The 14906-nt window shown below is 49.2% G+C and overlaps 1 protein-coding gene and 1 non-coding gene across 7 annotated transcripts, besides 2 other annotated features; one reads left to right on the plus strand and one right to left on the minus strand.

The window, feature by feature from the left end:
• Positions 1-4280: 4280 nt before the first annotated feature.
• LOC124900311 (small nucleolar RNA SNORA43) lies at positions 4281-4420 on the plus strand. Its single transcript, XR_007063006.1, has one exon. It is a non-coding gene; the product is annotated as a small nucleolar RNA SNORA43 (small nucleolar RNA).
• Positions 4421-6592: 2172 nt separating this feature from the next.
• MRPL11 (mitochondrial ribosomal protein L11) lies at positions 6593-10366 on the minus strand. Of its 6 annotated transcripts, NM_170739.4 has the most exons (6): positions 10150-10366; positions 9682-9777; positions 8868-8961; positions 8622-8781; positions 8334-8427; positions 6593-7630 (listed from the first exon to the last, which is right to left on the minus strand). In NM_170739.4, exons 1-5 carry the CDS (start codon positions 10270-10272, stop codon positions 8355-8357), a joined length of 546 nt encoding a protein of 181 aa, NP_733935.1. In that variant the 5' UTR covers positions 10273-10366; the 3' UTR covers positions 6593-7630; positions 8334-8354. The 6 variants fall into 6 exon arrangements, 4 of the variants coding, with proteins under 4 accessions (NP_733935.1, NP_733934.1, NP_057134.1 ...); NR_120589.1 differs by lacking the exon at positions 8334-8427 and having other exon boundaries at positions 10300-10366; NR_120588.1 differs by lacking the exon at positions 8334-8427 and having other exon boundaries at positions 8868-8953.
• Positions 10125-10264: a silencer, noted in NCBI's record as "silent region_3592". NCBI's record gives its function as "represses an Ori minimal core promoter by ATAC-STARR-seq in GM12878 lymphoblastoid cells {active_cell/tissue: GM12878}" and the evidence as "EXISTENCE:reporter gene assay evidence [ECO:0000049][PMID:35858748]".
• Positions 10355-10614: an enhancer, noted in NCBI's record as "active region_5044". NCBI's record gives its function as "activates an Ori minimal core promoter by ATAC-STARR-seq in GM12878 lymphoblastoid cells {active_cell/tissue: GM12878}" and the evidence as "EXISTENCE:reporter gene assay evidence [ECO:0000049][PMID:35858748]".

Genomic DNA, 14906 nt, shown 5'->3' on the forward strand with positions numbered 1-14906 from the left:
TGTCTTCTTGAAAGGAATCTTTCTCTCTTTCTCTCTTTCTCTCTTTCTTTCTTTCTTTGTTGGCAATGTTCACTATATTGCTGGACTCAAACTCCTGGGCTCAAGTGATCCTCCTGCCTCATCCTCCCAAAATACTGGGATTGCAGGTGCACATGGCTGAGAGGACACTTCTGAAGTTCAGTCAAAGGGTTTCATTAGACTCATCAGTTTCTACTGTAAAAATGTGTTCCTAAGTTCCCCAGAGGGAATCTTAAGTGACCATGAGCTCAAGACATGCATTGGAGTCCCATATAAAAACCTCCCTGGGGTCATTAAAAAAAAAAAAAAAGGAAAGTCTGGCCACACAATTGTGGCAGCTCATGCCTATAATCCCAGAATTTTGGGAGGACGAGGTGGGAGGACGGCCTGAGCCCATGAGTTCAATACCAGCCTGGGCAACAAAGCAAGACCCAATCTCTACAAACAAAAATTAGCTGGGCGTGGTGGCATGCACCTGTAGTTCCGTCTACTTGAGAGGTTGAAGTGGGAGGATTGCTTAAGCCCAGGAGTTAGAGACTGCAATGAGCTATGGTCACATCACTGCACTCCAGCCTGGGCAACAGAGCAAGACCCTGCCACAAAAACAAAACAAAAAGGAAAATCTGAGAAACCTAAGGAAACATAATGATGAAATAGAATGTAATATACTAGAGCAGAAAAAGGATGCAAGGTAATGAGGAAGTCTGAATAAAGTATGGACTTCAGTTGATAATACTGTATCAACATTGACTCATTAATTGTGACAAATGTATCATGTAAGTGTAAGATGTTGGTAACAGGTGGAAATGGCTGTGGGGTCTGTGGGAACTTTGTAGGATCTTCAAAACTTTTCTCTAAGTCTAAATCTATAATAGGCCAGGCACGGTGGCTCAAGCCTGTAATCCCAGGATTTTGGGAGGCCGAGGTGTGTGGATCACCTGAGGTCAGGAGTTCGATAGCAGCCTGGCCAACATGGTGAAACCCCGTCTCCACTAAAAATACAAAAATTAGCCGGGCATGGTGGCGTGAGCCTGTAATCCCAGCTACTCGGGAGGCTGAGGCAAGAGAATCACTTGAACCCATTAGGCGGAGGTTGCAGTGAGCTGAGATCATGCCATTGCACTCCAGCCTGGGTGACAGAGTGAGACTCTGTCTCAAAAAACAAAAAAAAAAACAAAACAAAAAAGCCCCATAACTTTTTTTATTTTTTATTTTTTGATATGGAGTCTTGCTCTGTTGCCCAGGCTGGAGTGCAGTGGCACGATCTCGGCTCACTACAGCCTCTGCCTCCCGGGTTCCAGCGATTCTCCTGCCTCAGCCTCCTGGGTAGCTGGGATTCCAGGCGCATGACACCACGCCTGGCTAATTTTTCTATTTTTAGTAGAGACGGGGTTTCACCATGTTGGCCAAGCTTCTCTCAATCTCTTGACCTCGTGATCTACCAGCTTCAGCCTCCTAAAGTGCTGGGATTACAGGCGTGAGCCACCATGCCCAGCCGCCCCACAACTTTAAAAGGTAAAAATTATGGAAGAAAAAAAGAAACCCCTCCCTGGTATTTGGTGGCAGTGACAGGAGATGGTAGAGTGTGTGTGGACAAGAAGGCACCCTGACACTCAGAACTGGAGAGCCAGGCCGTCGACCCATGCGGAGAAAGAAGTTGAGCGAGCCCATTGCGCCCCCTGCTGGACATAGAACCATCTGCTTCTGTTCCCTTCCCTGGCACGGTCCCTGTGGCTCAGAGCATCAACAATATTGCATCTTAGAATAGATGGGTAAACTGAGGCCCAGAGAGAAGAAAGGAATTGCCCAATGGCACTTCCAAAGTGGCTGCAGAAGCCAAATCTGACTCTCAAGCACCCTTGCCACCAACACCAGGTTGCTGCCCTGGGAGCAAAAAGGTATGAGAAAGGGCTGAAGTTTTGGAGTCACAAAGACTGAGGTCAAATATTGGCTCTGGCACTTCATTTTGCATGTGATAAACACTTATGACACCTACATGCGCCAAGGGCTTTGCTGGGTCCTGGGGAAAACTGAACAAGACAGACAAGGTCCCTGGACTCACAGACCTTACACTGAAGTTGTGGGGAGACGTAACAAAAAGTAAAATAACTCTTTAAAGGGAGCATGCAGTGCGTGCAGTGAAAGAAAGAACCTGTGTACTGTGGCCGAGCGGAACTGAGGAGGGGGTGCTAATTTAGAATGTGGCATCAGAAAGCTCTTCTAAGGTGACATTGAGCTAAGACCTAAAAGATAAGAAAGAAGAAGAGGCCGGGCACGGTGGCTTGTGCCTGTAATCCTAGCACTTTGGGAGACTGAAGCAGGTGGATAGCTTGAGTCCAGGAGTTTGAAACCAGCCTGGGCAACAAGGCAAAACCCCGTCTCTACAAAAAAAAAAAAAAAAAAAAAAAAAAAGCAAAAAGTTAGCCAGGTGTGGTGGTGTGCACCTGTAGTCCCAGCTACCCAAAAGGCTGAGGTGGGAAGATCACCTGAGCCCAGAAGGGCGAGGCTGCAGTGAGCCTTGATTGCACTTACACCACTGCACTCCAGCCTGGGTGACAAGAGTGAGACGTCGTCTCAAAAAAAAAAAAAAAAAAAAAAAAAAAAGTCCGGGCGCTGTGGCTCACCCCTGTAATCCCAGCACTTTGGACTTTGGGAGGCAGAAGCGGGCGGATCACGAGGTCAGGATATCAAGACCATCCTGGCTAACACGGTGAAACTCCGTCTCTACTAAAAATATAAAAAATTAGCCGGGCGTGGTGGCGGGCGCCTGTAGTCCCAGCTACTCGGGAGGCTGAGGCAGGAGAATCACTTGAACACAGGAGGCAGAGGTTGCAGTGAGCTGAGATTGTGCCACTGCACTCCAGCCTGGGTGACAGAATGAGAGAAAGAAAGAAAAGGAAAGAAGAAGGAAAGAAAGAAAAAGAAAGAAAGAAAAAAGAAAGAAAGAAAGAAAAGAGAGGAGAGAGAGAAAGAGAAAAGGAAGGAAGAAAGGAAGGAAGGAAGGAAAGAAGGAAAGAAGGAAGGAAAGAGGAAGAAGAGTGCTCCAGGTCAAAGAAAAGCAAAACTAAGGGTATCAAAATGGGAAAGGATTGACCTGTTTAAGGAATAGGAAAGAAGTCAGTGTGGCAAGGGGAAGAGTGGCTGGAGAGAAGGAAGATTACCCAGGGCCTTTGGACCAGGATAAGAAACTTAGATTTTATTTCATGTGCAATAGGAATCCTCTGGGGAAATTTAAGTGAGAGAACGACATATAATTCACATTTTTAAGCCATCCCACTGAAAGTTGTGTGGAGAATGGATTGAATGAGGTAGGAGGAGAAGCAGAGACCAGTTTAGGCTTCTGCAGTGATCCAGGCAAATAGGACGAGAACTCACACCCAAGTGCTTCCCTCAAGTCCAGGCGGAGGTGAGTGACTGGCTTTGGAATGCTTCAGAGGCAGAACTGACAGGATTTGCTAATGGATTTCAAATGGGGGTGAGGAAAAGAGAAGTCTCCTGTTTCTGACTTTAGTGAGTGAGTGAAGGGTTGTTGTTTACTTAGAAAAAACTGCCTGGTCACGGTGGCTCACGCCTGTAATCTCAGCACTTTGGGAGCCTGGGCGGATCACGAGGTCAGGAGTTCAAGACCAGCCTGGCCAATATGGTGAAACCCCATCTCTACTAAAATACAAAAATTAGCTAGGCGTGTTGGTGCGCACCTGTAGTCCCAGCTACTCTGGAGGCTGAGGCAGGAGAACTGCTTGAACCTGGGAGGTGGAGCTTGCAGTAAGCCGAGATTGTGCCATTGCACTCCAGCCTAGGTGACAGAGTGTCTCAAAAGAAAAAAAAATAGAGAAAAAGATGGAAAAATGGATAAGAAAGTTTTGTTTTTGTTTTCCTTTTTTTTTGAGATGGAATTTCGCTCTTGTTGCCCAGGCTGGAATGCAGTGGCATGATCTTGGCTCACTGCAACCTCCGCCTCCCGGGGTCAAGTGATTTTCCTGCCTCAGCCTCCTGAGTAGCTGGGATTATAGGTGTCCGCCACCATCCCCAGCTAATTTTTTTTTTTTCAGTAGAGACAGGGTTTCACCATGTTGGCCAGGCTGGTCTCTAACTCCTGACCTCAGGTGATCTACCCACCTCGGCCTCCTAAAGTGCTGGGATTACAGGTATGCAACACCACGTCTGGCCAAGAAAGCTTTAAAAGATAAGAAAGGATTCCCACCCTGGCCACAGGCTGGGTGTCTCTGGCTTGCTGAGTAGGTGTGGGTGACTACCCTGAAGATGCCTTCCGGAACATGCCAGCACCGCAGATGCTGGCAGTCTGCTGTGCCCGTGATATTGGGCAAAGAGGAAGTGGCTATTTCTACACTTGGTGTTCAGAAACCAGTGAGCTCTAAGAATGGTTTATAGCCTGACATTTCTTAGAAAAAAGAAAAAGTTAAACAAGATTCCAGGCATGGTGGCTCATGACTGTTATCCCAGCAGTTTGGAAGGCCGAGGTGGGAGGATCGCTTGAGCCTACAAATTTGAGACCAGCCTGGGGAGCATGGCGAAATCTCATCTCTACAGAAAAAATAACAAAAAAAAATTAGCCAGTCATGGTGGTGTTCACCTGTGGTCCTAACCACTTGGGAGGCTGATGTGAGAGAATCACTTGAGGCCAGGAGTTGGAGGCTACAGTGAGCTATGATTACACCACTGCACTCTAGCCTGGCAAAAGGGCGAGACCCTGTCTCAAAAAAGGAAAGAAAGAAAAAGAAGAAAGAGAGAGAAAGAAGGAAGGAAAGAAGGAAAGAAAGAGACTTCTTTTGGCACAGTGGCTAATGCCTGTAAGCCCAGTGTTTTGAGAGGCTGAGGCGAGAGGATTTGAGGCCAGGAGCTTGAGACCAGCCTGGGCAACATAGCAAGATACTGTCTCTTTAAAAAAACAAAATAGGCCAGACATGGTGGCTCACGCCTGTAATCCCAGCAGTTTGGGAGGCCAAGGTGGGAAGGTTACTTGAGGTCAGGAGTTTGAGATCAGCCTGGCCAACATGGTGAAACCCCATCTTTACTGAAAATACAAAAATTAGCTGGGTGTAGTGGCACATGCCTGTAATTCCAGCTACTCGGGAGGCTGAGGCAGGAGAATCGCTTGAACGTGGGAGGCAGAGGTTGCAGTGAGCCAAGACTGTGCCATTTCTTGTCTTGGAGACAAGAATGAAACTCCATCTCCAAAAATAACAACAACAATAAAAATAAAATAAAAGTAAATAAAAAATAAACATAATTTAAAATTCACCAGGCATAGTGGCATGCACCTGTATTCCCAGCTACTTGGGAAGCTGAGGCTGGAGGATCCCTTGAGCCCAGGAGTTTGAAGCTGCAGTGAGCTATTACTGCACCACTGCCTGGGTTACAGAGTAAGACCCTGTCTCTAAAACATTTAAAAATAAAAAAGCCAGGCGCGATGGATCACGCCTGTAATCCCAGCACTTTGGGAGGCCGAGGCAGGCAGATCACAAGGTCAGGAGTTTGAGACCAGCCTAGCCAACATGGCAAAACCTGTCTCTACTAAAAATACGAAAATTAGCCAGGCGTGGTGGTGGGTACCTGTAATCCTGGCTACTTGGGAGGCTGAGGCAGGAGAATTGTTTGAACCTGGGAGGTGGAGGCTGCAGTAAGCTGAGATCGTGCCACTGCCACTGCATTCCAGCCTGGGTGACGAGAGCAAGACTCTGTCTCAAAAAAAAAAAATTAATTAATTAAAAAAAAATTTTTTTTTTAAATGAAGTCTTGGCCAGGCACGGTGGCTCACACCTGTAATCCCAGCACTTTGGGAGGCCAAGGCGGGTGGATCACCTGAGGTCAGGAGTTCGAGACCAGCCTGGCCAACATGGTGAAACCCTGTCTGTACTAAAAATACAAAAAAATCAGCCAGGTGTGGTGGCAAGCGCCTGTAACACCAGCTACTTGGGAGGCCGATGCAGGAGAATCACTTGAACTTGAGAGGCAGAGGTTGCAGTGAGCCAAGATTGTGCCACTGCACTCCAGCCTGGGAGACAGAGTGAGACTCCATCTCAAAAAAAAAAAAAAAACTAAGCCACTAAGCCATCATTTAAAATTGTTTTAGATAATTTTTAGGCCAGGTGCAGTGGCTCACGCTTGTAATCCCAGCACTTTGGGAGGCCGAGGCGGGCAGATCATGAGGTCAGGAAATCAAGACCATCCTGGCTAACATGGTGAAACCCCGTCTCTACTAAAAATGCAAAAAAAATTAGCCGGTGTGGTGGCAGGCGCCTGTAGTCCCAGCTACTTGGGAGGCTGAGGCAGGAGAATGGCATGAACCTGGGAGGCAGAGCTTGCAGTGAGCTGAGATGGCGCCACTGCACTCCAGCCTGGGTGACAGAGCGAGACTCCGTCTCAAAAAAAAAAAAAGAAAGACAATTTTTAAATGTTCTAAATAGTTGCTAACTTGAAAGTATACAGCGTTGTACAGCTATATAGAGTATGACCCCAGTTTGTTTTTTCAAAAAGCATTATACATAAATACACACACAAAGAAAAAAAGGAGCAGAAAAGATATACACCAAATATTGGCAGAAGTCTCATCTGGGTGGTGGGATAACATGAGGTTTTTATTTTCTTTTAGGTGTTTATCTATGCTTTCCATATTTTCTCAGTGTAAAATGAAGTGTCTAGCACATAACAGATGGTCAGTAAATGCGAATCTCCTTTCTCCCCCAACTCCTGCTCTCTTCTCTGAAAGGACAATGAGGAAATAGAAGGCCAAGGGCTTCCCGAGGACTTCTCCATCAGGCAGGAACCTACTGAAGCTTTGCTCTTTCTGTGGTCTGTAGCTGTCAGCCCTACAATAGTTCATGTTCAGCCAACATCTGACCCAGAGCCAGGGTCAGGAGCTTAGTAGAAGGGCCTGAAGTAGCCCCTGGGATCTGGGTACTCCATGTAGTAACCCTGCCTGGGGCTGAACTGAGATCTCCACAGGGACTTGTTTCTGCAGAGGTGGCAAGTTGTTCAGAGATAAAAGAGATTTTTGATGGAAGAAGTAAGCAATACACCTCAGCCCTAGCAACCATAGTTCCCACCCTGGGGAGGGGAAGAACACAGGATTTCAAATGAGAAGGCCTGGGTTCTATTCCTACCTCTGGCACCAATTCAGAACCTGGGCAATAAAACAAAATTATAACTTAAAAAAGAAAAAAAAGGACCTGGGCAAGTTACTTTGCTTGGCTGAACCTCAGTTTGCACATCTGAGAAGCAGTATGAAGACCCCAATTTCCTAATGTCTGCCCATATTGGCTACCACCAGTACTGGTTCCCTTCCCTGAGGTCCCAAGATAGAAGATGACAGTGGGTAAGAAAGGATGTTTATTCAGGCCTGATGCCTCGATACAGCTAGATGTACAAAAATATATCATTCAAAGTCATGAAAACCATCATCATATTGGTGTGACCTCCTTCCTCCCCTTGGGCACAGCTTTTGCAACTACCTCCTTTGAAATCTGGGAGTTGGTGGGGCAAGGGTCACTTCTTGGCAGCTTCTTCTTGGGCAGCCAAATCTGCCTCCTTCTGAGCAGCCAGGAAGATGGCTCGTTCCTTCTGGAAAGCTGCAAGCTCTTCTGAACTGAGGCTGCAAGTGAAAAAAGACAAATGGTTGGCGCATGATTGGTCACCAGTGGGAGCTCACAGGACCCTATGTCTTGCAGGGGCTTGAAGGGGCCCCTGTCTCCAAGCCCAGCTTGCCTGGCCCCTTCTGCCTCCCTGACTTCCCAGCCTCCATACCTTTGCTCATTTCCTCTCCAGGGACAACATCTCCCAACCCCCAACACCCCTATCTTTTGTTCCCTTATTAAATCCCTACTCATCCTTTGAGGCATCAGCCAGGCCCCAGTCCAGATTAACTGGGGTACTCTGTGCCCCAGAATATGCTGTACAATGACGTCACGGGGCTGAGCATGTGTGTCTCTCCCAGGACAGGGGTCAGATTTACCCATCTCCATGCTCCCAGTAAAAAAAAAAAGATTTGAGAAAATTCAAGTCTGTGTCTGCTCCATGCTTAACCCCATTCTTCTTGGGAAATAATCAATTGTCAGCCTTGACATGGGATGTAACACAGCAGCAAGAGGCCAGTAAAGGGTTGAATGCTATCTCTGTCCCGGCGGTTGTCTAGGCCAGACACCCTCCCACCCAACATCTTACTTCAATGAAACAATTCCTGAAGTCATCCGAAGCCCCATGACAGGGGTCCCTGTTTGCCTCAGGAGCAAGCATGAACCTGACACAGCTCAAAAGTCCTTCGCACTGGTCCTTCCCTCATACCATTCTCCACTTGCCTCTAGGACGACAGACCCAGGTCACACTGAACTTCTCCCACTTGGATCCTTCATGGAGATCTTTCCATTTCTTAGAACATTTGCAGAACAACGTCTAATACATAACAGGTGCCCAATAAGAGTATTCCAGATCAATGAATGTGGCCTCCCACCCCCACCCCATCCTCTAGAATCTAGGGTCCCTTGACTTAAAAGCTGACTTTCCCACTGCAATGGGCCCTCTCAGCTCTGCCCGAGTCCAGAGCTTTCTGGGCCCTCTCGTCACACTGCACATGCCAGGATACTTACTCCTTCACCACGCGAATGCCCAGAGAACGGGCAGACCCGATGATGGAGCGGACAACAGACGACAGGGGTACATCCTGCAGGGCAAATGCCTCATCCTGAGCTTTGATGCGGGCAATCTCATACACATGCTTCAAGGTCACCAGGCCTGCCACCTCTTTCCCTGGGAGGAAGGAACAAGTGGCTCTTCAGGTGTTACTGCTTCCTTCTGGAGCCCCCAGAATCTCAGATGCTTACCCTGGCCCTCACCTGTTTGCCGGGCCCCCTTTTCAATCCCAGCTGCTGCCTTCAGGAAGTAGGAAACAGTGGGCTGTCCAATCTTAATTTCAAATGTCCTGTCAGGCTTAACAGAAAAAAGAAATATGAGATTCTCTCTTCCTACTGCCCCATCCCAGGGAACTTCTAATGTCTTGCCCCCTGCTTCCTTCATCTCACTTTCCAATGGCATCCCTCAAAAAGACCACAGAATCACAAGAAAAAAATAAATCGGGGTCAGGCGCAGTGGTTCATGCCTATAATCCCAGCACTTTGGGAGGAAAAGGCGGGTGGATCACCTGAGGTCAGGAGTTCAAGACCAGCCTGACCAACATGGTGAAACCCCATCTCTACTAAAAATACAAAAAATTAGCCGGGCGTGGTGGCGGGCGCCTGTAATCCTAGCTACTCGGGAGGCTGAGGCAGGAGAATTGCTTGAACCCGGGAGGAGGAGATTGCAGTGAGCGGAGATCGTGCCACTGCACTCCAGCCTGGGCGACAAGAACAAAACTCCATCTCAGAAAAAAAGAAAGAAAAAAATAAATCTGCAGCAAACATCCCTGTCCCCTCTATTCCTGCCCTCATTCTGCTCTGGAAGCCCCAGTGAGATGGAGGGGCAAAGGGAGGAACTGCAACATGGCAAGATGGGGCTGGTTCAGAAAAAATATGATCTAGTCCTAAATGGGGAAAGTGGAGCCCAGTAATAGGAAGTCAAGTCAGGAGCAGAGAAACAACCCCAGATGACCAGTCCCAGGGCCGAGGAAGAACAGAGGGAGAAGGAAACCAGGGATCAGAGTCCAGACTCCACCTTCACTAAAATCTTGGTAGGCAGAGGAATGCCTTCCTTGATGTCCTTTGTCCTCTCATTGAACTCCTTGCAAAACTGGTTGATGGAAACGCCTCTCTGTGAGGGAAGCAGAGGGGGTTAGTGGTGAGAGGAGGGGACGGCTTCCTATCGCCCAGGAGGCGCCGTCCGTTCCCTCCTTCGTCTTCACTTCTCTGGGTTCCCATCTGTACCCAGATTCAACTACCCCTCCGTGAGCCAGAAGATCGTACGCATCTTCCCACGTTATCCTCATTACAGCACATTGAAGAAGGGATGAGGAAGCCCAGGTGGAAGACACTTTGTAACCAGCACAAGGACATAAAGCGTGTGAGAAGCAGAGCCGAGCTCTGAACCGAGGCCCGGGTGGTTCCAGGGCCAGCGCCCTCCATCCGCGTCCTAGCTTCCACCATCCTAGACAACCCCCACGTCGGGTTCCCGCCACGGCCGCACCTGACCCAGCACTGGGCCTAGTGGGGGCCCGGGCATGGCCAGGCCTGCCCGCACGATCGCCCGGATCACACCGCCGACCTCGGGCTTCCTGAGGCCCCGGGCGGCCCGGCCGAGCTTTGACATGATGCGGGGCTGCTGGCTTCAGTTCACCTCAGGGGAGCAGCAAGAGCGAAGCTCTGGGCGCCACCATCTTGGGCCAGAGGTCAAGGGTCCTCACGTTAGGCTAGGGCAGGTGAGGCCAACAAACAGCAGCCTTGTTTCAACCCTATTGCTCGCCAACTAGTAAGACAAGGAGGATGAGAGGAGGATAAAACACTTTTTAACTTGTTTTATGCAGATAAAGGAAGGGCCCGAATGGCCTAGGTACACACATTCCCACAGGAACGCGCACAGGCACTACCTCGGACAGCTAACCAGTAGGGTGGGACCTTGATACCCCATAGCATTGTGGGTATGGTAGTTTTGACTCCGTGTGCAGGTCCGGCCAATTGCTATGCGCCAGGGCGCCATCTGCTGCACACGGTGATAATCCTAGGGTTTGAAATACACCTGGAGCTCCTGATTGGTAATGGAAGTCTCTCCTCTCTCTGTTCCTCACATGCTGTTGAAAGGCAGTACGGTTGAGTGTAGACCCTGAGCTGGGCACGGTAACTTACGCCTGTAATCCCAGCACTTTGGGAGGCCAAGGCAGGAGGATCGCTTGAGCCCAGGAGTTTGAGACCAGCCTGGGCAACACAGCAAGACCCCATCTCTACTGGGCGGGAAGATCAGTTGAGTCCAGAAGTTGGAGGCGGCAGTAAGCCAGGATTGCGCCACTGCATGTGAACTTAATCAAGTTTCTTATGCTTTGTCTCCTCCCCACTACAGCAGGTATTGTAATATGTAGCACCTACCTCTTAGGATTGCTGTGAGGACTAAGTTAGCAAAGTGCTTAAAACAATGCCCGGCACCTAGTCAGCATGTGCTATTATTAACCGTACGATTAAGATAAAACCTGAGTTGTTGTGAGGCTTAACAGACCCAGAACATTCGATATATCATCTGTGACCAAATAAGCCAGCATCTTATTGTATCATGAGGAGAGCAAAAATCACCTGGTGACCTTTGAATCATGAGGAGAGCAAAAATCACCTGGTGACCAGAGACAAAAACTCCTTATCTGAGGAATTGAAAAGTAATTAAACTTCCCTAGTGTGTCCGGAATTGGTGGGTTCTTGGTCTCCCTGACTTCAAGAATGAAGCCGTGGACACTCACGGTGAGTGTTACATTTCTTAAAGGCTGCGTGTCTGGAGTTTGTTCCTTCTGATGTTTGGATGTGTTCTGAATTTCTTCCTTCTGGTGGGGTTCATGGTCTCGATGGCTCAGGAGTGAAGCTGCGGACCTTCGCGGTGAGTGTTACAGCTCTTAAGGCGGCGCGTCTGGAGTTGTTCCTCCCAGTGGGTTCGTGGTCTTGCTGGCTTCAGGAGTGAACCTGCAGACCTTTGCGGTGAGTGTTACAGCTCACAAAGGCAGTGTGGACCCAAAGAGTGAGCAGTAGCAAGATTTACTGCAAAGAGCAAAAGAACAAAGCTCCCACAGTGTGGAAGGGGACCCGAGCGGGTTGCCACTGCTGGCTGGGGCAGCCTGCTTTTATTCTCTTATCTGGCCCCCGCCCCACATCCTGCTGATTGGTCCCTTTTACAGAGAGCCGAGTGGTCTGTTTTGACAGGGTGCTGATTGGTGCGTTTACAATCGCTGAGCTAGACACAAAGGTTCTCCATGTCCCTACTAGATTAGCTAGATACAGAGTGTCCACACAAAGGTTCTCCAAGTCCCCACCAGAGTAGCTAGATACAGTGTCCATTGGTGCATTCACAAACCCTGAGCTAGACACAGGGTGCTAATTGGTGTGTTTACAAACCTTGAGCTAGATACAGAGTGCCGATTGGTGAATTTACAACCCCTAGCTGGACATAAAGATTCTCCAAGTCCCCACCAGAGTAGCTAGATACAGAGTGTCGATTGGTGCATTTACAATCCCATACAATCCTAGACATAAAGGTTCTCCACGTCCCCACCAGACTCAGGAGCCCAGCTGGCTTCACCCAGCGGATCCCGCACCCGGGCTACAGGTGGAGCTGCCTGCCAGTCCTGCGCCGTGCGCCCGCACTCCTCAGCCCTTGGGTGGTCGATGGGACTGGGTGCCGTGGAGCAGGGGGTGGTGCTCGTCGGGGAGGCTCGGGCCGCACAGGAGCCCATCGGGGGCGGGAGGCTCAGGCATGGCGGGCTGCAGGTCCCGAGCCCTGCCCCGCGGGAAGGCAGCTAAGGCCCGGCGAGAAATTGAGCACAGCAGCTGCTGGCCCAGGTGCTAAGCCCCTTACTGCCCGGGGCCGGTGGGGCCGGCCGGCCGCTCCGAGTGCGGGGTCTGCCGAGCCCACGCCCACCCGGAACTTGCGCTGGCCCGCAAGCACCGCACGCAGCCCCGGTTCCCGCCCGAGCCTCTCCCTCCACACCTCCCTGCAAGCTGAGGGAGCCGGCCCCGGCCTTGGCCAGCCCAGAAAGGGGCTCCCACAGTGCAGCGGCGGGCTGAAGGGCTCCTCAAGCGGGGCCAGAGTGGGAGCCCAGGCAGAGGAGGCGCCAAGAGCGAGCGAGGGCTGTGAGGGCTGCCAGCACGCTGTCACCTCTCTCTAGTATCCAATGTTGGCATCTGGTTCCAGGACTCTTCAACTTAAAATTTATAAGCAACTAGAATTTCTAAACATCTCGGGAATGCCATGCCAAAACTCACTTTGCAACCCTTGCTGACATTAAGGCACCAGAATTACTACAAATGTAATCATTTATCAGACCTAAGTGGCTAGTGTGGTCCAAATTGCCCTCAAGCTCCCTCTTTAAGGTCCATAAATACCCCTAAGGAAAATCCGCCAGCATGGTCAGTCCTCTCTTGCTGAGGCATCCCTCTGCACTCCTCTGCAGTGTTCTTTCTAATAAAACTTTCTGGCCCGGCACGGTGGCTCACACGTGTAATCCCAGCACGTTGGGAGGCCGAGGCAGGTGGATCACGAGGTCAGGAGTTTGAGACCAGCCTGACCAACATGGTGAAACCCCATCTCTACTAAAAATACAAAAATTAGCTGGGTGTGGTGGCACGTGCCTGTTGTAATCCCAGCTACTCAGGAGGCTGAGGCAGGAGAATTGCTTGAATCCAGCCTGGGCGACAGAGCAAGACTCTGTCTAAAATAAATAAATAAATAAATAATTTAAAATTTTTTTAAAAAGTCAATCTCTCCCTGTCCCATGGGAATTTCCCTAAGAGGGAACATGCTAGATGCCTGCTGTGTGGAAGGGATAGGGAAGTTCTGAATATCCCTCTTACACTGTTTGCCAAGACCAGCTCGGTCTTGGATACCCTAACCCAGTGGCACTAGAGGAATTAAAGACACACACACAGAAATATAGAGTGTGGGGTGGGAAATCAGGGGTCTCACCGCCTTCAGAGCTGAGAGCCATGAACAGAAATTTACCCACATATTTATTGACAGCAAGCCAGTGATAAGCATTGTTTCTATGGATTATAGATTAACTAAAAGTATTCCTTATGGAAAACAAAAGGATGGGCTGAAACAAAGGGATGGGCTCTGGCTAGTTATCTGCAGCAGGAACATGACCTTAAGGCACAAATCACTCATGCTATTGTTTGTGGTTTAGGAACACCTTTAAGTGGTTTTCCATCCTGGGTGGGCCAGGTGTTCCTTGCCCTCATTCCGGTAAACCCACAACCTTCAGTGTGGGCGTCATGGCCATCACGAACATGTCACAGTGCTGCAGAGATTTTGTTTATGGCCAGTTTTGGGGCCAGTTTGTGGCCAGATTTGGGGGCCTGTTCCCAATACTGTTCTAATTCTTTTCGTAAATTTGGATAAGGATCTAAAGGAGCAGTTGGTTTGGCTCTGAGTCTTTCTTCCTCTAACCCGCCTGCTGCCCCTTGATCTTCCTGTCCCCTATTCTGTGAGATGTACAAAGGTGGTAAGCATGATATGGGGTCCCAGGGCTTTTTGGTGGGCAAGGGCTTTTTACTAGGTTCCTTTTCCTCTTCATGGGGGCTAATTCCTTGATCCAACAGAGAGGTAACCTATCTCTTCTTGTGAGGATGGGATTTTATCATTTACATAGAGAATTAAGGCTTGGCACATCCAATCCTCATCTGAGACAAACTTAGGCCAAAAGACCAAAGGCTTACGAATAGGGTCTTTGGGCCAGATAAAAGAACAATACTTTATCATCTTTTGCTTTTCCTTGTCCCTGGTTCGAGGGTTATTCCTCCAAACCTGCAACATTCTCCCCAAAGGACTATCTGGGGAAATGTCAGAGAAAGTTTATTTGTCTCCATCTTTCCTTTTTTCCCTAGGCCTAGAATTCCTGTTTCCCATTTTCGGTCAGTCTCTGTGTTGGAGCTTTTCTCTGTGTACTCAACCCTCCCCCCACCCCAGAGGTTTCTTGCACACCACAAGAATCGCTTCATCTGTCTCCAGCTGTTTCCCTTGCAGGAGAAGGGGACCATGGATTGGGACTCCACACTCACTTCATATCGAAGATACTTCTCAGTCACACACACTTGACCTCCAAAAATGCCCATCCAACAAGGCAGTACTTATATTCCAATTTTCTGTCCTTGGCTCTCCAATTTTCTGACCTTGGGTCATGCACGAGGTTGCCTGGTTGCCATGGTCCCTGCTTTTCTCCCTATGTCACCTCTGCTGCCTCCTGAATAACAGTC

Source organism: Homo sapiens, chromosome 11, assembly GCF_000001405.40.
Source record: "Homo sapiens chromosome 11, GRCh38.p14 Primary Assembly".
NCBI classification, from domain to species: domain Eukaryota; kingdom Metazoa; phylum Chordata; class Mammalia; order Primates; family Hominidae; genus Homo; species Homo sapiens.